The sequence below is a fragment of the Homo sapiens genome, chromosome 6 (genome assembly GCF_000001405.40).
Source record: "Homo sapiens chromosome 6, GRCh38.p14 Primary Assembly".
NCBI classification, from domain to species: Eukaryota; Metazoa; Chordata; class Mammalia; order Primates; family Hominidae; genus Homo; species Homo sapiens.
The window spans coordinates 6,305,735-6,328,261 of record NC_000006.12 but is presented as its reverse complement, the minus strand read 5'-3'; the positions used below and the strand labels follow the sequence as shown (position 1 = coordinate 6,328,261).

At 43.3% G+C, this 22,527-nt stretch overlaps 1 protein-coding gene and 1 long non-coding RNA gene across 2 annotated transcripts in view; one reads left to right on the top strand and one right to left on the bottom strand.

Annotated features, from left to right (window-relative positions):
- Nucleotides 1–22,527, bottom strand: part of LOC124901253 (uncharacterized) — a 44,281-nt gene that overhangs the window by 1,906 nt on the left and 19,848 nt on the right. The gene's annotated exons all lie outside the window — the stretch shown is intronic.
- Nucleotides 7,600–22,527, top strand: part of F13A1 (coagulation factor XIII A chain) — a 176,579-nt gene continuing 161,651 nt past the window's right edge. Inside the window, exons 1-2 of the mRNA NM_000129.4 lie at nucleotides 7,600–7,675; nucleotides 9,580–9,727. Of these exons, the coding sequence (NP_000120.2) occupies nucleotides 9,598–9,727 (130 nt within the window). The 5' untranslated portion in view covers nucleotides 7,600–7,675; nucleotides 9,580–9,597. The remainder of the gene's footprint in view (nucleotides 7,676–9,579; nucleotides 9,728–22,527) is intronic.

The window sequence follows — 22,527 nt, the reverse complement described above, 5'->3', positions numbered from 1 at the left end:
TGGTATATATCAAATAAAATCAGTCTCTGACCCACTCCCCAGACATCTTTCTTATATAGCTTAAAAATGGAAGGCATTGGCTGGGCGCGGTGGCTCACGCCTATAATCCCAGCACTTTCGGAGGCTGAGGCGAGCGGATCACGAGGAGATTGAGACCATCCTGGCTAACACGGTGAAACCCCGTCTCTACTAAAAATACAAAAATTAGCCGGGCGTGGTGGCGGGCACCTGTAATCCCAGCTACTCAGGAGGCTGAGGCAGGAGAATGGCGTGAACCCGGGAGGCAGAGCTTGCAGTGAGCTGAGATCGCGCCACTGCACTCCTGCCTGGGTGACAGAGCAAGAGAAATAGACCCTTACATATACATATCCTCACATATACATATCCTCACATATACAACCACAACCAGCCAATTATAAATCTCACCCCTTGACAAGCATGAATTGCACATGAAGCTCTTGAAGAGGTTCTAGACAGAAAATACTGCAATAAATGCTGATAATGGCCTCTTCAAATTATCCAAAATTATTAGCAACTTAAATATTCACTTCCCTGATATGAGGATGATAATGAGAAAATACAGGTAATAACTATTACAAAAAGTTAAAATATTCATCATGGATGAGTGAAGGTTGTCCAGTGCACACATACCATTACTGGTAATATTTATTTAGAGCTAGCTTCTTGCCAGGGACTATACAAACCTTTTTATAGGTATTCTCTTCTTTGATCTTCATAATCTTGTGAGGTATACATTATTAGGATCACCATTTTACAGGTGAGGTTAAGTAATGTGCCCAAGGTTACATAGATAGTAGATTCTAACTCCAGCTGCCATATTACTCTTGGGAACACTCCAAAGCTCCTACTGTACTTGTACACACACACACACACACACACACATGCACACATATGTGCATACACATTTAGTCAGCATTCTGATAGTTTTACTGAAGCAAGCATTGTTTTTATAGCATCCCCATTATCTGGTGTTGGTTGTGGTTTTCAATTGCCACTACTCTTTAAATTAATAGCTTTGTAATAAGTTTGTGGAATTACTATTAGGTTTCACTTTCATTGATTATTTTGTTCATACACATTGCTGTATTATTTTAATTACTAATTTTTTCATAATGTTTTGTTATCATTGAATTTTTCCTCTGGCAAAGTGAGATACTTGGGATGGGTGGATGTGGGGTCTCTTGCTTCACTTAAGGAAAAGTATTGAATTAAACCATGCATGCATCTGTGTCATATGCAGTGAGGCTGGCATGACTGATGTCTCTTCCCACTGTGGGTGTTTCTAGCATTTTTTATGAAATTTTCTTTTTTTATGAATTTTTCATTTTTTATGAAATTTCTTTCCTTTAAACTTGAAAAATCGTTATCTGTAACAGACCTACTTCTAGTTGACCCTTCGTCATGTTTTATAAAGTCTTTTCAAGTTTAAAAATCTCTTGGAGTCTCCTTAAACTCCATCAGGACTCTGGAGGAGTTAGGAAGCCAGTGGAGAAAGTTTTCTGGAGCTAAACCCTCAGTGCTTCCTCAGTCCTTCCCTTCCACCTGCATACTCGCTCATATGCACGGCACACTTGCTCACACAGATGTGCACACACTCACAGACACATACACTCACGTAGACAATGCATACACACAGAGGCATACATGCTCAGAAATACCCATACACACAGATACTCAGACACACTCAGTCGCTCACACAGATGTGTGCACAGTCACATGCAGACAGACATATACACTCACAAATATATAGCCAGACACACACAGACACACATATTCACAGGGAGTTGTTTAATGGAAACAGAGTTTCAGTTTTGCAAGACAGAAACATTCTGGAGATGGGTCATACAATACCATGAATAGCCTTAACACTACTGAATTGTATACTGAAAAATGGTTAAGATTATAAATTTTATGTGTATTTTACCACAATTAAAATTTTTTTTAAGACAGAGATATTTACTGTAAGAAGGTGGGTACATTAGTTAAATCTTTCTTTCCTAAGGCGAGAACAGCTTTCTTCCATTTGCCTGCCATGAGGTGAGGCAGCCCCCAGCAATCCATCACTGCTCCTCGGGAAGGTAGATTACAGGTGATCGTAGATCCCTGGCAAGAGTGGGCTATGCCCAGGGAAGCCAAAGCAAAGAGAAAACTCCTGCCATCTGGACCTGTCCCTGGCATGGGTTTTCATCTTTCCTGAAAGAAGAAGGAAAAGAGGCTGTGGGAGACATGGTCCTGTCTTAGATCCCACGCCCTATTGTGGTGGCAACTGCGATGATGCTTTATAAATTCCTTTTAAAATGTCATTGCCAGACTTTGTGAAAACGCTCGTGAGGCTTTGAAAAATATGTGAATGGATACAGAGGGCCGCTTGCCTTCCCCCACTGCTCACTACTGTGGCTAGAACCTGACTACAAACTGCCCACCCAGCCTCCCTTCCATCCTCTCCCCCAGGACACTTCCATCTGGAGTGGAAAGTTTTCTCCAGCTCCTACAGGATGAAGGGCAGTGCAGGAGAAAGACTCTCCCAAGAGACGAACTTGGGTCATTCATGTCAGAGGGTCTGGCATCTTTGAACAAGGCCAGTTGTTATTTATGTATCTACTCACCTCCCTCTGGAATTACATCTATAACCAACAAAATCCAGGTCTTGTTCAGCTGGAAAAAACCAGCAGCGTCCAGACATGACTGGGTTTTTTGTTTGTTTGTTTGAGATGTGAAGTTTTGCATGTAAATCAAATAGAGTTTGCCAGAAAATTCATTGCCTGAACAAATATGGTCTGCTCCTTGGGTATTGCCAAGTAGGAGAAAGATGGTTTGTCTGGAGAGACTGCAGAGAAAAGTGTCAATACCATAGAAATGAAAACTCAGAATTAAAGGATCAAGGTAAGGGGATCCGGAATCCCTCCTCCCACGTATTTTCTGTTTACTCACAACTCCCAAAGTTTACTACATATTTCTGAGAGACGCCAGGATCCCAGAGTGATGTGTTTAGGAATTTTTACCCTGCTTCTTGGGGAGGCAATGGGGTGAGCCCTTCAGCTTCAGAAGAGTGAGAAGGTATGCCCAGGCCCGTGCAGCCAGAGGGAGTTCACGTCTCCTTGGAGGTCTCATGCTGAGCTGGTAAGGCCAAGAAAGTAGGGGCAGAACTGGATTACCCTTGTGACGTTCTCATTGGAGTCTCCTCGTGCTCCAGGCCTATTGACATCTCATGTGAGGGACTGGCCATGCCATGATGAAAGAGCACAGTGTGTTGTGGCAGTCCTGGAACTGTTTGCCCAGAGAGCCTTTCCTCACCCTTTCCCTGTATGGATGCAGTAAAGAGTTAACATAGCAAACCTGAAACTGGCTTAGAAAGCCCTACTTGCAAGCTTGGCCCTTGTCTGGCATCTGGGAACTTGGACTTCAGGAGTCTTCCCACTGTTCCCTAACTGACAAGTGGGGCTGGCTGGGCCTAAACTGTACAAAAATTGTGGCTCATGCTTAACACCTGCTTCCTTCAGGGAGTCTGGAAAATGGCTATGAGCTAGGTAGAGGGTACCTATGTGACCAGCCCCCCATAAACACCCTGAGCACTGAGCCTCTGGTGAGCATCCCTGGCAGATGACATTATATCAGTGTTGTCACAACTCATTGCCAGGGTTGGTAGGCACAGCCCATGTGCCTTGATTAGGACAGGACCTTTGGGAACTTCTGCCTGGTCCTCCAGACTTTGCCCAAGTGCCTTTTCTCTGCTGATTTGGATTTGTATCTTTTCGTCATGATTTATCGTGTAGTATATATGATATATGTACATTTGTATCTGATCATAGCTACGTGGGTGGCCGAGTCTGGTGAGTCCTCCTAGTGAATCACAGAACCTGGGGGTAGCCTTGGGGCCCCAGCACAGGAGTGGTGGGGCTAACTTTGCAGGCGGTATTTTCCAGAGTCCTTTGTCAACTGATTCTAGTGGAGTTCAGCAAAACGGCAGACAAGGGAGGGAGAGGGAGCGGGAAGAAAGGGACAAGCTAGGATCATTCTTCCCTCCCTCTTGACCTCAGACAGTGTTTCTTGGAATTATGGGATCTAAAGCTCCCACCAGACAGGACCACACGGTTCCAGTGCCTGACCTACCCTCAGTCCTCCCGCTACAACGACACCAACTCCTCTCTGCTGTTGCTAATTGTGGAGTTGATTCACCTTCTCGTGTTTGGTTTCTTGTCTCTTCTCTCACCTGTGTAACCAATCCCCTGCCTTAAATTCCTTCTTTTAGAAAGACCTAAAGTGGTTTTTGTTTTCCTGGATGAACCCCGTCTGTTACATGCCTTAAATATTTACATGGCTCCACTTCCATGCCAGGCAGGGGGCATTCAGAAATAAAAGACACCATCCCATCCTTAAGGACCTCAGAGCCTATGCACCTGTGGAAGTTGCATCCCTAGCACAGTTCAAGATTCACTGTGTGACCAGAAACCTTTGTTCTGATGTCTCAGCCATATAACCATGAGGAATACCCTGTAAAATGAATGGGCTTCAACCGCATTCTAGGGCTTGGTGGCTTAGACACATTTTTATCGACTTTGTTTAGCACAAGGAAAGCCATTGCATTTATGATGCTCTTGAGGTTAGTGGTTTGGGGGAGTCAGAAAGCCAACCACTGTGTGTGTATGTTCACAAAGCCAATAATTAGTCTAAGGCCAAAAGTGACACCGTGGAGGTGGTTGTGAGGGTGACAATCCTGTTCTGAATGCACAACTCAACCCCAAGTCCCAGGGGTACCTGGCATCTGCGTAACCTCATCTGAAGGGTGCAAGGGTGGCTGCTCATCCTCCAACCCCACATGGATGAGGGTATCTTGGAATTCTAGACACTCAGATTTGATGTTTGCCAGGAGAACTACCAGAATATGATCGTTAAGGATTGGGGGAGGGTTTAAAAATACTGAGGAGACCTGAAATTGTATGAATGCTGAGGGGAAGCAGTGCTAGACATCTTTAGGGTCTTTCTCTAGCACTCAGCAAGGGATGTGGCAAAGACGGCCTTTGGATAGTTAAGTGGTCAGCAGCCTCTCTCCAGGGAACTCTGGCTGGAGTCCCTACCTTTTTGTACTCTAGTGCAGGTACAGCCAAGGAAACAGAAAATGATCATGCAGTGTGAGGAGCACTACAACAAGGCAAACTCCTTGCAAGACAACTGGGGAGTCAGTGGAGGGAGACTGGGCAGGGAAGAAAGATGGCAGAGGAAGATGATAGGGAAGAAAGATGGAAGCCAAATGGCAGAAGCTTAGTGATGAAGAGGAGGAGAGGAGAAACAACAGTGGAAGGCAGGGAGGGTAGATTGGTGTTGGGGGAAGGTTTTTTAAAAATACTGGAGACCTCAAATTGTATGGATGCTGAGGGAAAGAGCAGTGCTAGAGGCAGGGTCCAGCTTGTATAGGCCTTGTCAGTTTCAGCTTGCAATTTATCCAAAAAGCAAAGAGAAGTAGCCATATAAGGGCTTTGTGCAAATAATTTGATTTCGGATTTTAGCCCTGAAATGCTCATTCTGACTGCACTGTAGAGAATGGACTGGAAAGGGGTACATACACGGGTAGATTCAAGGGCTGTTTAAGAGGTAGGATAGAAAATATTTGCTCAAGGATCGGATTTGATGATTGAGGGAGAGAAACAAGGAAGCCTCAAGAATGATGCCCATGTGTCTGGTGTACCACCTGCGTGCAAAGTGATGGTATTCATTGAGGTAGGGAACTCCTGAGATGCACCAGGTTTTCCAGGAAAGTGATACATCTCATGTTAGACATGATGAGCGTGTGTTGTCACTGGGATGTGACAAATGAGGATAGCCAGTAGGCACTTAGATACGGGAATCTGCAATTCTGGAAAAGATCTTGGCTAAAGACCCAGATTTGGGAGGTGTCAGGATATAGATGGAATTTGAAAACTATGGGAGTTCCTCAGACAATCAAGGAATATTGCGCTGCACTGGAGGAAACCACAGAGTGTTCAATGTCAAGGAGGCCTAGGAAAAATACCTTCAAAGACAGAGTTCAATGCTTCCAAAAGGTCAGGTAAATAAGAACTGAATCCTGTCTTTTGGCCTGAGCACAGGCCTTGGAGACCGTGACCTCCACTTTCAGTAGAATGATGAGGCGGAAGCCAGATGGCAGATACTTAGTGATGAAGGGGAGGAGAGGAGGAGTAACAGCAGGAGTGGGGACATAGGTTGGGGGAGGTTTTTAAAAAAATACTGAAGAGACCTGAAATTGCATGAATGCTGAGAAGACCCACTATTAGCAAGCAGGAGCTTGAAGCTGCAAGAGGAAGAGTACGTAAGAGTCACAGCAAAGCCCCGGAGAACAAGGCAACGCAGAAGCCTGGTTTGGAGATGCAGAGGGAGGAGGGACCTTTCCAACTTCAGTAACAAGAAGAAAGAGGAAAAGATAGATAAGGTTGCAGGCAGGTTCATAGATTGGTAGCAGAAAATTGAGAGAATTTCTAACCAATGGCATCTTTTTTTTTCTTCTTTATAACATTGGGAGATTGAGTGGCAGGGTCAGAAATTTGAAGACAGTAAAGAAGGTTAGAAATAGCCATGTTTGACTGGGTGCGGTGGCTCACGCCTGTAATCCCAACACTTTGGGAAGCCAAGGAGGGTGGATCACCTGAGGTCAGAAGTTCGAGACCAGCCTGGCCAACATGGTAAAGCCCCATCTCTACTAAAAATACAAAAATTAGGCGGGCATGGTGGCATGCACCTGTAGTTCCAGCTACTTGGGAGGCTGAGGCAGAAGAATCACTTGAACCCGGGAGGTGGAGGTTGCACTCCAGCCTTTGCAACAGAGCAAGACTTCATCTGAAAGATAGAAAGATGAAAGAAAGAAAGAAAGAAAGAGTAAAAGAAAAAAATTAAAATTTTAGGGGGAAAATTTTCTAATTTTTGAACATGCACTAAAATGATTTTCAGAGAAAACCAAGTGTTATTTTCTAATCTGCATGGCATTATTAAAGATGTTTACTCATCTTCCTTGGGGCTAGGCATCCCATTCCTGCAGGAAGTCTTGTGGTTAGGCGGTGGCTGTGGCTCTGGGATGATTCAGGAATGCAGACCATGCCTTATTTGCACAGGAGGGACACGTTGCTCTCACTGCATGCATGGTCACAACTGTCTGTGTGACCTGTCTGTGGGAGGGCAGACCCCCCTCCTGCCAAGCCACAGTAGCAGCTGACCTGCCAGGCAAAAGCATTCCTTTGTAAAGGAAACCCTCCCAGACCCTCTGACCAAAGGGGACGGGTGGGGACTTCCTGGCACTGCAGGGCCCCTTGCCTGGTACTCCCAGCAACTGGTTGCGGTGGGGAGGGCAGATCTAGGGATGGGGATGGGGAGGAGAAGTGGGAATGGGAAATTGGGAGTCAGAGGGGCAAGTGGGAGAGAAGGGCGCACCTGCCGGGATAACAGGCCAGATGAAGTAAATAGAAAATCCTCTGAGCTCCCCTACTGGCTCCAGCTGTGGAGAAGGGGGAGGAGAAAACCCTGTGGGACAGGGGAGGAGGGTGAGGGCTCCTCTTAGGAAGTTATTTAAGAGCCAACTGTCTTGTCTTTCCCGAGTCCGTTTGAGGAAGTCCCCGAGGCGCACAGAGCAAGCCCACGCGAGGGCACCTCTGGAGGGGAGCGCCTGCAGGTAAGCCACCGACCCTGCACCCTATGAGCCAGGGCCCGCTGCGTCCACCTTCTGCACCTCGGTTTCCTGGTTGAACCAGCAAGCGGCTTGCTCTGGGCCCTGTGGCGCCGGTCACAGGCAGCTCCACTTGCCCAATCCTGGCTTCCCGCCCCCAACTCCGCACCTGCCCAGCCCAGCTTCTAAGCGGGACTTCTCTCAGGCTCTCGAGGCAGCTCTCCCGAAGCCGTTGCTTGCTTAGAATGCCACCAAATGGGGATGGGGGAGTTGGAGGTGCTTCCCCAAGGGACGAGCCCCCTTTCCTCAGGGAGCAGATTATGGAGCTGGAACACAAAAGGTGGAGGGAGTGGGGCCAAGTGAGAACAGCCTGCTAGACTGGAACCCCGCCGGCTTGGCTCCCCACTCCTGCGCGCCTCCCCACTCCTGCGCATCGCCTGCCTCCGTCCCAATTTGGAGCTGAACTCGAGCCACTTCTCCTCCTTAGACCCGCCCAGAAGCGAGGGCTCCTGCCCGCCGCACTCACCCAGCCAGGCGTGCACCTGGGGCTCCCCCCTTCTCCCCCTTAGCACTGTGTCTCCCGACAGCGCGCCACACTGTTCTGCACCCCTGGCAATGCCGCAGCCTACCTTCGGTATTTCTCACTAGAGGATGGCTCTCGCAGCCTTCTCCCTATCATTAACCCTTTTTCGCTCTTCTCCCTCCCTTCCCCCGTCAGCTCACCAATGACTGTAAATATATTTATCTATACTTATGGATACCCATTCACACCTTATGCATCCAAACACTCCTGTCTCCTTCTCAGACCAGACACCTTAGGCGTGGTTGTCTTTTCTCCAGCATGTTGTTAGTGCTCCACATGTCTCTGGAACCATCTCTCTACTCTGGTGGCCTCTATAATGGGGACTCTTCACCTCTTGGGGGTGTGCCTGGTTTTTGAAAATAGCCAAGTCTCCAGGAGTCATGACTGGGTAATCCAGGGGATCAAGGGGGAACCTTCACTGGGCCCAGAAACAAAGTCCCCCTTCATTTGGTCATTTGGTCAACAAGTACTTACTGGGCACTGACCGTCAGGTGTGTGTTGTTTAAACTGGCTCAGTGCCTGCACAAGCTCCAAGGGAAGGGGAAGCAGGCTTGGGGAATGGGAAATGTTGGCAACCCTGACTTCTTAAGCCTATTGATAGCCCTATTGAAAATTGCATGCCCAACCTCTCCACCTCCTTATCCTCCTCCATGTGGCTCAATTTCCAAAGCAGTTCCTACCTCCTCACCCCTAAGTGGATTTACTTATGGCTCTTCTTGGGCTCCACCCTAACCCTATCAGACTATAATCTATCAGAGCAAACATTCTGTTTTGTTCTCTGATGTATCCCATGTACCTAGATCACAGCCTGGCATGTCATAGGCCCTCAATAAATATTGGTTGAATTAAATTGCAAATGTAAACGCTTTAGAAGACAACATTTGTCTGGACATGGTTGTGTGCGTTTATTCTTAAAAGTGACTTATAATCTCATAAATCTGTATGAAATGAACATAGATACAGCACATGCATATAACAGGAAACATTTCTTGCGAAGATGCTGCTGTAGGATTATGGAGGGTGGGGGAATCTGGGTCTCCAAAAATCTTTTAATTTTTAAATTTCTTTGAATAAGCCCCTTTTCTTCTGCTTTCCATATGTTTTGACACATACAAAAATCTCCCCAAGATCCTTGGGGAACTGTATTCCATCATTAGACTAATCCTTGCTGCCACTTCTCAGTTTTTATTTATGCAAACGGCAAAATGTGTTGCTCAAGTGCTATCACACACAGATATATCTGTTTCTCTATTTTGGAATCCTTGTCTCAAATGTTACTCACTTTACATGCCTTTTCTGTTGTCTTCTTTTTTTTTTTTTTCTGAAGGACCTTGTAAAGTCAAAAATGTCAGAAACTTCCAGGACCGCCTTTGGAGGCAGAAGAGCAGTTCCACCCAATAACTCTAATGCAGCGGAAGATGACCTGCCCACAGTGGAGCTTCAGGGCGTGGTGCCCCGGGGCGTCAACCTGCAAGGTATGAGCATACCCCCCTTCCCCACCACTCTGGGTCCAGGCACAGCCGGGCCCTGGCCCCTCTTCCCTGCAGGTAAACATCCTCTGTCTCCACTGGGGTTCCCACAAAAGGAAGCCCCCTGCCAATCTCTGGTTTTATAAAGGAAGAAAGCAAAAGCTTTCTTTTAAGTGGTGAAAGCACCGAAGACCCAGAGCCTTGTCCCAGTTCTGCCCCTTACTGACCTTGTAACCTCAGAGAAGTTGCTTTGTCTTTCTGCCTCTCAACTATTTCCTCTACAAAACCAGAGTGCTGGATTAGCTAGGGCCTCTTCCAGCCCTACTGCTCAATGCTTTAGAGAATTTTCTCTAGCTGGAATATTCCACTTCCAAAATATTGTGGCTGTTTTGATTGTCTGGCTTGCACCTCCTTCCTTCTCCCTCCTCCCTCCTCCATCCATTGCTGTGAATTTCAGAGCCGGGGAGAAGTGCCAGACTCTGACAGTAATAGAGATAGAAGCCCTCTATTTCTCTCCAGAGCAGCCTGGTGAGCTGGCAAGGCAAGCTGCTTCCCCAGCCTCTTGCCTCTGCCTGATCCCTAGAAACCTGTTCCGGGTACAGCAGCCGGCAGCTGACCTCCTCTCAGCCCTGTCAGTGGTGACAAGGTCCAGGTGCCAGCACTGGTTTGGTGATACAGACATCATTCCCCTGGGCCATGGCAGGGACATTCAGACTCATGTCCCCGAGTGGCATTGAGCAGGGAGTCTTTTTTGTCAATAACATTCATGCACCAAAATCTAATTTTACTCCTAAGGGTGTTCTGTGCTGGGTTTCACTGGGGATAAACACCTATTTGCTGGGATAGGTGAGCATGGTCATGCTGGAGCTGTGTGGTCGATTCCCCTCATTAGAAGGAGACCAATGCCTGAAAGCCCAGATTGATGCAGCTCTCCATATAGCAAAGGGAAAGGGGAAGTGCAGTTTATCCAGCAAGCCAGACACTTGCCCAGGTGTTGTGGACTGGTGTCATTGTGTTACTGTCACACTAGATGATTTGATATCAAATAGTGAAATCAGGGAGGTATCCAGTACCATCCAAGTTTGGGAAAAGAAGTTCACAGAACAGAAGGGCATCTTCAGTCAGGTGGTAGAGTTTGAGGGGCTAAGACGAACTTGTAGTTCTGAAATCTGTCTCCCAGCTGGATGCCACTCTCTAAAACCCCACCTTGACAGCCACAGAACTGAGTTTAAGAGGACTTGCTAATCAATGAATCCTCATCCCCATGTTATATGTTAGGAAATAGAGGCTGAAGGTAAGCAGTTGATATTCACTGCTTACCCAGTCTACGAGTCTTTTTCTTTAAGAATGCAAATAAAATGCAAAAGCCTACAGATATCAAATTATTAAGCAGGTTGCCTTTGTGTATTCCATCTTCTAGCAAAATTCCCCTGTGGCCCAAAAGACTCTGGGCCCCCGGAAAGGGGGTGTAGGCACTGGAAGAAGTGGGCAGTAAGAACAGGAGGAGTAATGACACAACCGTCCTTGCCACGAGGAGTCAGGACACAGCCACCCTTGCCAGGATTGGGAAAAACGGGAACCTCTACAAAGGCAGTGCAGGGAAGCAGGGAAGCAGAGAGCAGAGGCAGAAGACCTGGCTTCCTGTTCCACATCTGCCACTTCTTGCTCACTCTGGGAAAGTCATATTGGTGCCCAAGCCTCAGTTTCTCCATCAGCAAAATGGAAGCAATGCCTACTTCACAGATTGTCGTGAGCATCTAGTGAGCAGTGTCTGTGATCAAGTCTGACCCACAGCACGTGACCAATAAGTGTTCATTGACTGGGAATGTGCAACTTATCATATCCCAGCAAGGTCAGGAAAGCACTCCAGGGAATACTTGTTCCTATGAGGAATATGTACGACCTGTAGCCCCCATAAATCTGACATCTGAACAAAATGCTGCTAGTAAGACATTAAAACTGTCAGAGAACATGTGCAGGTAGGCCAATTAAGAAAAATAAAATCTGGGATTACTGCTTTTGTTGATTTCTGGAGGCACAGGTGGGGAGCAGCATAACTGAATTACTCTGAAAAAATCAGTCATTATTTACTTGGCAGACATATGTGTCCACAACCCAAGTGACATTCTGGGATATCCATTAGAGGCACTGGCATAGGAATATGAATGTCCAGTGACTGTAGAATGAATGAACGAACAGTCAATCACTTGTGAATTGAATGACTCATAGCTCTAGTGGCATTATAATTTATTATTAATAACAAGCTACAGATTTCATACATATGCATTCATTTAATATTTTTCACAGACAAGATAAGTGTTACATGCTCTGGGGATACGGTTTCTGAAGCCCAGAATCATGACAGCAAGTCCCAGATGAGAAGGACAGGAAAAAAACTATATATATATATATATATATATATATATATATATATATATATATATATATATATATATATATATGCACACACACATAGCAGCACACAAACCATCTGAACAAGGAGGTCTATCTCCTGGTTACCTTTTGCATTTCAGATTTATATTTAATTGTTCTAAAAGCAGGTTTTCTGGCACTATATATCAAGTTTTCTCCAAGTCACTAAGGGACGAAATTTGCTAAGCGACTAAACCTTGGAAAGAACACTCATTTTTAAAATGCCATCTTCATGCAGTTCACCCAGTGGCCACTAGTGGCCTCTAAGAGGCCTTGTATCCGCGGTTACCAATCTGCGGATGATGACTTTGGCTCCAGGAACACCAGCCCCAAGTTAAACTCTTGTCTCCATTTTTTTCAGTGGCCACTCTTCCAGTTAGCAAGCTGCTCTTGTAATACTGACTGAGAAATGCAGAGAGGCAAGAAGAGGAAAAGGGGGGAAATGGCGGCTTTTTCATTTCTAATAGTTCTGTAGCAGTGAGTCCTGCCCATCACTGTGTGTGATATATACAGTGTTCTAAGGTATACTGAGTGTATATAACGCCCTTAAGTCATGGCTTTGGTAACATTTGGTTAAGAATTATTTTGGTAAAATCTGTATTTTAAAATGTATAAACTCATGTAAGTTTCCTCTCATACACACCATGATATTCAAGAAAAAAAAAATGAAATATTTGAGGTAGGCACGGAAATCCCAGAGGTGGGACCAGCCATTCAGTGGTAGCGTTTGACATCTTTGCATGATTTTAGGCATCTTTAATGTCACCCTTTGAATTCAGTTGTAGCCAGGAAAGGTACTGAGACGATCTCCTCAGATTTGGATTTGTATCAATTTCTAATAGACTGTTCTGCAGGCTTAGTTGGTGTTTCTGAAAAATCTCTCCACTGCCTTCCTGGTCTGAAAGGTTATGTGTAGCTGGAAATGTAATATTCCAGAAGAAACCTTATGTTGTTGGTCTGCTTTGGCTCTATATTGTTAACAATAGGCGACCATTTGTAGCAGTAATTGGAATCATTTAACAGTTCTATTGTATTGAATTAAAACTGGAAAGCAAGCCTGGCCCTATTTAAAAACTGGGTTCTAGTAGTTTTTCAGGCTAATGGGGTCTTATACCTTTCTAAGAATCTCCTCCATCCCACCACTCCTTGTCAGAATTAAATCAACCAATTAATGATAAACCTCCTCTTTGTGCAGAGTAAACCTCTCTGGATTGAAGGTTACTGAGAGACTAAGAGGCATTCAGTGTATGACTGAGAAATGCTATTGTCCAGCAGCAGTTCCTCCTTTCATTCAGTTCCTGGAAAAATATACACTGGTTTTCACATATGTGTCAGGAGCTGCTCCAGGCTGTCCCTTGGGACATGAAGTTGAGTAAGTTAGTCCCTGGCCTCAAGAAACTCTCAGTGTAGAAGACAAAATAAATAAAAGATCATTGCAATTCAGTGTAATAAAGACTGTGACTGTGATTTATGCAAATTGCAGTGAAATAACAGAAATCAATGTCTAGCGGTGTGGTGGAGTGGGGAAGAGGATGAGGAGGGCTTCCTGATGCAAGGATATTGGAGCCGAGACTTAGAGGATGAGTATGAGTGTTCCTGACAGGCAAGCGCATGGAAAAGTGTTTGCAGTAGAGGGAACAGTATATTGCAAGTGAGGAGGGACTAAAAGATGAAAGAGAAGATATAAGCCTGGGAAAAGATGGCAGGCATCACACCATACCAGGCCTTGGGGATCTTGCTTTCCTCCTGCAGATAATGCGGGACTTGAGAAGGATTCTAATTAGCAGAAATACATAATCAGAATTATGCTTTACAAAGTGGTAGGGAGGGCTGGGCACGGTGGCTCATGCTTGTAACCCCAGCACTTTGGGAGGCCGAGGTGGGCAGATCACCAGATCAGGAGTTCGAGACCAGCCTGGCCAACATGGTGAAACCCTGTCTCTACTAAAAATACAAAAATTAGCCTGGGGTGGTGGTTGGCGCCTGTAATCCCAGCTACTCGGGAGGCTGAGGCAGGAGAATCGCTTGAACCTGGGAGGTGGAGGTTGCAGTGAGCCGAGATTGTGCCATTGCACTCCAGCCTGGGCGATAAGACCAAGACTCCGTTTCAAAAAAAAAAAAGAGTAAGGAGAAAATGGAGAACAGGAGATATGTTTGGAAGCTGTAGAGATACTCCAGGCTAGAAGAGGAATAGACCAGAGGGGTTTTAGCCCCTGGAGGTATGGGGCTCATTTCTCTTGTTCCAGCTTCCTCTGAGCACCTGAGCAATCCTTCAACATTATAGGTTCCAGGATGTATTAATAACAACACTTTATAAATTAAGCCACTTAAGAAAATGCTTTTAATCATTCTAATTAAGGACATGTTAAAATTCTGGGTACCCAAAAGAAATGTGAGAAAGAGTTATTTTTCCTGTTTTTTTTTAAATAAATCAGTTTCTCATGGATAGCATTTATGCTTATAGTTCAATAACAATATTACCAAAAATTGCATGGAGAATTCAGTTCACTAGGGAATTCCTAGTATATAAACCTAAACATTTAACTTATTTCAAGATCCCATCTGTGACAGGTATAATCATTCTCTGAAGAATATTTTACAACCTAGGGAGACAATAATTTACATTTTGTTCATATTAGACAAAAAGTAGGAGGACAGGGAGGCAGTTGCTCCTCCGGAGATTTTTTTCTTTTCTTTAACAGTCCATTTTCCGATATGTTTGGAATTAGGCTAAATTGTGTTAGGTAGACAGTTTGAAAGCTGTCACTTTGAAAGAGCGAGCTGCCAAGTTTCTAGCTACCGTATTTAAAAAAAAAAAAAAAAAAAAGGCGGCTTAGCAATGAGCTGTTCCATTTTGCCAGGAACTAGGCTTGGACAGGGGAAGCAAATTCATTTCCTGTTTGTGGCAAACGGAGTCTGGATGATGATAAGACTTTTTCCATCTAAACTGCCTTGTTAACCCAGTAAACAAAGCAAAAATCAATATGCTAGATTCATCAATGCTTGCTGGAACACACTCCATGGCAAGGGACATTTCCTAGGCAAAATGGACAATGGAATGAACAATGATATTTTTATGTCTATGTTCATATTTTATACAGTCATCTTCAGAGTCTTTGATACTATCAGCTGTTATAAGAACCAAATACTTGGTTGACCTGTGTGTGGCTGACTCATGGGCAATGAAATAAATTTTGTTGAATCAGTGGTATTGGGGACCTCACCTCTATCCCCAATACTTTGGACAACCCATTAAGCTTGCTCATGTCTTTTCCATTTGACTACAGTCTGGAACATTATTTCTTTAAACTCTCAACCTCTCTGTGTAGCTTTTAATCTTCCCCTTCTTAGCCAAGTTTTATTTTATTTTTTATGAAATGTCTTTCTTTGTTTAAATCATTTTAAGACAGACTTTTTTTGTTTTTGTTTTGAGACGGAGTCTTGCTCTGTCACCCAGGCTGGAGTGCAGTGGCGCGATCTCGGCTCACTGCAAGCTCCACCTCCCGGGTTCAAGCGGTTCTCCTGCCTCAGCCTCCCGAGTAGCTGGGACTACAGGCACGTGCCACCACGACCAGCTAACTTTTCTTTTTTTTTTTTTTTAGTAGAGACTGGGTTTCACCATATTGGCCAAGATGGTCTCCATCTCTTGACCTCGTGATCCGCCCCCCTCAGCCTTCCAAAGTACTGGAATTACAGGCATGAGCCACCGCGCCCGGCCCCCAAGACGCACTTTTAAGAGATTATACAGGAAAGTTTTACTTATCACTGCCTTAGTTTTTCCCCACTTATAGTACCACTGTGATTTTATGTTTTTCCTGAGGCATTGGCTTGTTGAAGTGATATTGCAACAGAGAATCAAAAGATCACTTAGAAAAAGTAACATGTTAGAAAACATCATGCTTAGAATTAAATGTCTAAAGTATACCAGTATAGATGATATAATTTAAAACAATTGATACTATCAGCTGTCATAAGAACCAAATACTTGGTTGACCTGTGGGTGGCTGACTCATGGGCAATGAAATAAATTTTGTTTTATACGTATAACTTTATATATATGTAACTTTATATATATATAAAAAGTTTGCTTATATATAATATATATACACATATCATATATAAATATATTGTTTATAATATGTAAACAATATATACATAAATAATATATAAAAACTATATATTATATATGTAAACAATATATTTTTAAAAACCAAACTCATGGGTTTATAGTTTTTTCATAGTGAAAACAAACAAATATATAAACAAATATATAGTTTGCTTATATCTATTATATATAAACAATATATAATATATAAAGATATAAATAATATATAATATATAAATATATATTTGTAATATATAATATATAAATAATATATATTTGTAATATATTATTTGTTTATATCCATTATATAATATAAACATATGTAATATATATAATTTATATGAACAATATATAATATATAAACAATATATGTTTTTATATATTATATATAAACATATATATTCATGATATATATGTATGTTTGTTTACACTATGGAAAAACTATAAACCCATGAGCTGGGGTTTTGTCTTTTTTTTTTTGACTTAGGTTTTCTATTCTCAAAGGCATTAATCAGCACCCTTTTTCTCACCCTTTGTTATCAACATATAAGCAGGCTAGAAAGACAGTATTTTATTCCAATGTGAAACAAAACTGCTGATCTGGAGGTCTTATGTTATAAATTCCCACATCATACCTTCAACTATATATATGTCCTGAAACTAGCATATTTTGAGAATAAAATGGTAAATGACATTTAAAGGACACCTATGGTTAATCCTACAGTAAATGAGATAATTTATTTTGAAATGAATGATCAACTCTACGCTCCAAATTTTCACGTAAAAGGTGTTCAGGTGAAAGGAGGCATATTTGCTGTGGCATTTCTGCACACTGCCCCAGGCACTATAGCAAGATAATTAAGACATGGTCCAGTCTTCAAGGGGATTACAATCCCATGGCTAAAAAATCACCTATATAAAGATAATACAAAGAGACAATGATACTTTTTTTTAAAAAAAAAAAGACAGATGTTTCCTGCGAATCAAGAGGAGAAATGCTTTCTATTTACCTGTGGAAATTCAAAGCAAGCCTGTCTGCTCAGAAGATAAGGAGTATAAAATGGCATGCTTCCCTGGGAAGGCTGGAAGGCCACTGCTAAAAAGCTTCCCAGGGACCTTCTTTACCTTGTGACTTCCATTGCTCAGATTCCAGCCTCACACCATGCCTTCTCAGATACCTGACTACTTAATGATTGGTCCTAAGGGCCAATCCAAATGCTCAGTGCTATTATGATTATTATTGCCATCAATTTCTGAGCATTTACCATGTACCAGGCCCTAGGATAGAGCACTCGGTGCATTTTCTCATTTAATCCTCACACCAACTTCATTTTGCAGATGAGAAAACTGAGGCACAGGACATTTATGTAACTTGCCAAGGTCACAAAGACAGTACGTGAGAGTTGGGATTTGGGTTCAGGCAGCCTAGCTCCACAGTCTATGCTCTTACTATGCTCTTCTACTTCTCTTAATAATAATAACAACAACAATAATAATAAACATTTATTAAGAATGTACTTGGTGTCAGCCACTCTATAAGATAGGTACTTCATTCCCATATTAAAGATAAGAAAACTGAGGCTCAGATAGATTAAATAACTTTTCTGAGGCTGCACAATAAGTAAGTAGTGAAGCATTTCCAAAAACATATTCTGAAAAATGCAGATCTCCAAAGAAAAAAGTTTCCATAGTCATTTACATTTGGAAACCATTGCCCCTCTGAGATATCTGTGGTATACATCAGCATATTAAAGTCTCACATGAATGCTTCAGTAAAGAATCCTGATCAGCTTTGGTTAGGCCAGCATTTTCCACACTGGTTTAAACATGGAGCTCTAATTCTTCCAATACCTGTCAATATCCCATAAAACTAGCACTATGCCATGATGGACTGACTCTAACCAGTCTCACTAGACATTAACCAGGTACACTAGGCTAGGAGGTAAAGCTGGAAAGCCAGGTTTTCATTTGCAATGAGAACTAGGATGGATGAGACATACCAATGATACCAAAGAAATACTCGAATATTTCTCCGTCTCCAGCCTTACTTTGCCTTGTAGGTAGAGCTGCTTGGGAAGCCAAGGCAGGACTCATTTCAGGGACACATTATCATGCAGGGAGGGAGGGTAGGAATAGAGAAGGCAAATCCAGGAGTACCAGAGGAGCAGTGCCTTGAACCCCTACATGCAGGCTAAACTCACGTGGCCCCTCACCCAGAACACTGCAACAGCTTCTTAACTGGGTTCAGCTTCCAGCTTTGCCCCTTCCAATCCCTTTTCCACTCTGCCACCAGAAGCAGTTTCAATATATATATAAATCTAATCATGTCAGTTTGCTGTTTCAGATTCTTCACTGGATCCACCATGCAATTAAAACCCAAACTCCTTCGCATGGTCTCCAAGGCTCGTGTGATGAGCAGGCTCCTCCTTACTCTTCCACCGTGGCTCCCACTAGTACATTTCAGCCAACCATCATCTTTCAATTTCTTAAGCAACTATGCACTCTCTTGCCTCAGTCTTCACCTATCCTTCTTTCTCCGCCTGAAGCATTCCTCTCCACCCCCCTTTCCACATGGACAACTGACTCCTCTTTTGCTCACTGCTTATGTCTCACTTCCTTCAGAGAAATTCCTTATTTTCTACCCCCTAAATGTGGGTTAGGGGCTCCTCCCTGATACTCCCCTCAGTTCTCTTTACTTCCTTTGTCAGAGATGTCTGACACTGTGTCATAATTATCTGTCCACATTTTAGCATCTACTGCTGTGCGTTTACTTAGTTAGTAGTTATTAGACAGTTGCCTAATCAACATTTATACCCATGTCTTGAGTGGCAACATAAAATAGCACACTTATAACATTCCCAGAGGACAAGAAGCTAGGGAGAATATTAAATATATTAAATGCATACTTAGGGGTTAAAATGATCTTAAGAGCATGGGACAGTGAGCCAAATTCAATAAGAAGAAATTTAACCCATGCAAAGTCTTAATATCGAACTAAACAGAAGAAAACAATTGCACAAATAAATATAGCCAAATAGCAACATGAGTGGGTGACTTGTAGGGGCCTCAACTGAATTTTGATCCATTGTTGCTAGAAATAACATTAGAATGTGTTTTAAGGGAGGCTGAGGCAGGGGGATTACCTGAGGTCAGGAGTTCAAGACCAGCCTGACCAATATAGTGAAACCCCATCTCTACTAAAACAAAAACAAAAACAAACAAATTAGCCAGGCATGGTGGTGTGAGCCTGTAGTCTTAGCAACTTGAGAGGCTGAGACATGAGAATTGCTTGAACCCGGGAGGCAGAAGTTGCAGTGAGCTGAAATTGCACCACTGAACTCCAGCCTGAGCAACAGAGCAGGACTCTGCCTCAAAAAAAAAAAAAAAAAAAAAAAAGAATGTGTTTTAAGGGTTTTGCTTTATCAGATGCATAATATAAATCAACAGTGAGTTAAGAGTATCCAAGACACTGACAATATCTTGATTTGAAATAATAGACTGTTTATTTTAAAAGATGTAATGGTCTCTTTTTTTTTTTTTTACAGAAAAACCACAACTAGAGTAATGTACTTAATTCCAGAAAATAACACTTCAAAAGAGAAATTGACAAAGTGGAAAATATTCCAAAACAGAGCGTTGGATAAAAGTTCTAGAAATAACTTCTTAAAAACAGTTAAATAGGCTGGATGTGATGGCTCACGCCTATAATCTTAGCACTTTGGAAAGCCAAGCCGGCGGATCACCTGAGGTCAGGAGTTCAAGACCAGCCTGGCCAACATGGTGAAACCCCGTCTCTATTAAATTTTTTAAAAATACAAAAATTAGCGGGGCATGGTGGTGAGTGCCTGCAATCCCAGCTACTCAGGAGGATGAGGTGGGGAGGATTGCTTGAACCCAGGAGGCAGAGGTTGCAGTGAGCCGAGATCGCGCCACTGCACTCCAGTCTGGGTAACAGAGCAAGACTCTGTTTCAAACAAGCAAACAGTTAAATAAATGAAGAATGTTTTACTCAGAAAAAAAAAAAATCCTATGAGCAGTCTTTAAATACCTAGAGAGTGCCAGCTAAAATGAATAAGAGGACTTATTCTATATTTATCTAGAAGTCAGAACGAGGACCCATGGTTAGAAAAATTACAAGGAAGCAGATGTCAGTTTATCTTAAGAGAAGTTTTCAAATAATTAGAGTTGTTTAAAAATGGACTGTTTGCCCTATGAAAAAATGAGTTCCCTGTTCAAATGGAAGCTAGAAGCCCAAGTAGTAGGGCTCTCATGAAAATGTTTCATGCAGGGTATAGTAGTTCTACCAGATGGCTGAGAAAATGCTATTGCTGTTCTGTGAGATTCTGTAAGGATGTAATATCAGTATATTCCTTCCATTGGTGCTGGTAAACGGAGAACTGATGAAACCCATTTCTAAGGACTTTGGTGTTTAGCTATTTTTAAAAAAAAAACTTTAAAGCCCCTGTGCTAAGAAAGAGGACCAGAGGAGTTGATTGCTAAGCTCCTTTTCAACAGGAACATTTGTGCTCCTCCAGCTCATTCTTGGGCTGGTTTATCACGGGGATTGTGGTCTTAATAAGACCAGAGGACTTAGGAGAAAGGCAGCTTGGAATAGAGAGGTCTAGAGAATTAAACATCTTTAGCTCACAGCATAATGGAAAGAAAGTGCCCTTCAGGGGAACATGTATACAACAGGGTTCTGAGAAGAGGTAAAAATAAAACTGCATCCTGCACTTTCTGCTTGCCGTAATGCTGCAGTCAGGGTAACCCGGGGAGCACCACGCCCTGTGAAATGGCTGTCACAGTTTAGGGGCAGTGAGCCACAGTAAGCCTAGGACCCACTATGTGCCAGGCATAGTGCCAGACCCACTGCACCGTTATCTCATTGAGCCTTCATAGACCTTCTCAGGGTATTAGTATCCTCATTTTAAAATAAGAAAATTCAGATTCTGAAAGGTAAAGTACCTTAACGCAGTAATTTTGACACCTGAGATTCAAACTCAGGATTGCCTGAACTTTGAATTGCTCAGCAGTGTTTCAGGAACTCCTGGACTTTAGGACCGAAGAGGATCTTAAAGAGCCCAACTTCTTGGTTTTGACTATGGAACACAATGGGGTCCAAAGGGACCAGGCATCCTGCACAGGATTTATGTGTGGAGGTAAAGGAAGCCATTCGACTATGGCAGGAGATGCCCCGGCATGGGTACAAGCTCAGCAACTGTGCTTTCTGCGCACATGGTGCTTATAGCCATGAAGGCAAATCATGCATCAGGCAGGGGCAGGGAGGGGGAGGGCAAGAGGCCAGGGCACCCCTGCCGACCCTTCTACCCTCCCACCCCACCTTCTCCCCAATAACTCTTTACAATGCCAAATGCACATGCAGAAACCAGTCTCTAGACTAGATCTTCTAAAGTACAGTGAGGACAGGGAGTTAGGATGACCCCCACTTTCAGTCATCATTCATAGAGGGGAAGGGGAAAAGGGCAGGAAGAGAGCTGACTTTCATGTGTCAGACCCTTTGCTAAATGCTTGCATACGTGTCATCTCATGCCGTCTCCTGTCACATTCCTGTAAGAAGTGGAACATGTTAGGCTATGAAATGAATATTAGTGTCTCCATTCTATGATGAAGAAATGAATTTAAGTCACACATACAAAGTTAGACAACTAAGAAACATGTGATTTACGTTTACACTCCTGATGCCACAAATCAAAAGAAAAACCTGTGAATGTTGGCATCAGACAGTCCAGGTTTTGACTTTTGAACTGGCCCATTAGTAGCTAAGGAAAGCTGAGGATAGTTTCTGTGTCACTGAAAACAATCACACTTATCTCATGGAAATCTTAGTGTCCTTTCTCCAGACCTGCTCCCTCTCTTTCCTGCATTTGAGGGATGAGATCTACTTTTAGAATTACAGAGGGAGGAGGCATTTGACCCTTTTTGAGGTAAAAGGAGAATTTTAGATTAATGGCTAACTTTGTCCTTCGAATGTCCCCTTGAGGCTTTGTCAGATTTGATTCCTTCCTTTGGAAAGATAAGAAAATTGAAGTGGCTATTCCCTGCTTCTGCCTGGTTAGTCACAGAGTGAGGCAGTGACATGATGGGAAGCTTCTAACATAACGAAAACTAGCGTGAGACTGAGAACCTGAAGACTTCAACTCTGGCCCTAGCTTCTCTGTATTTGGATCTCCCAGACAGGCATCCATCTATCCCACAGTGAGTGCCTTGTGGTCTGAAACGAGATCAAAGGTGGAAAAAGCTTTAAAAA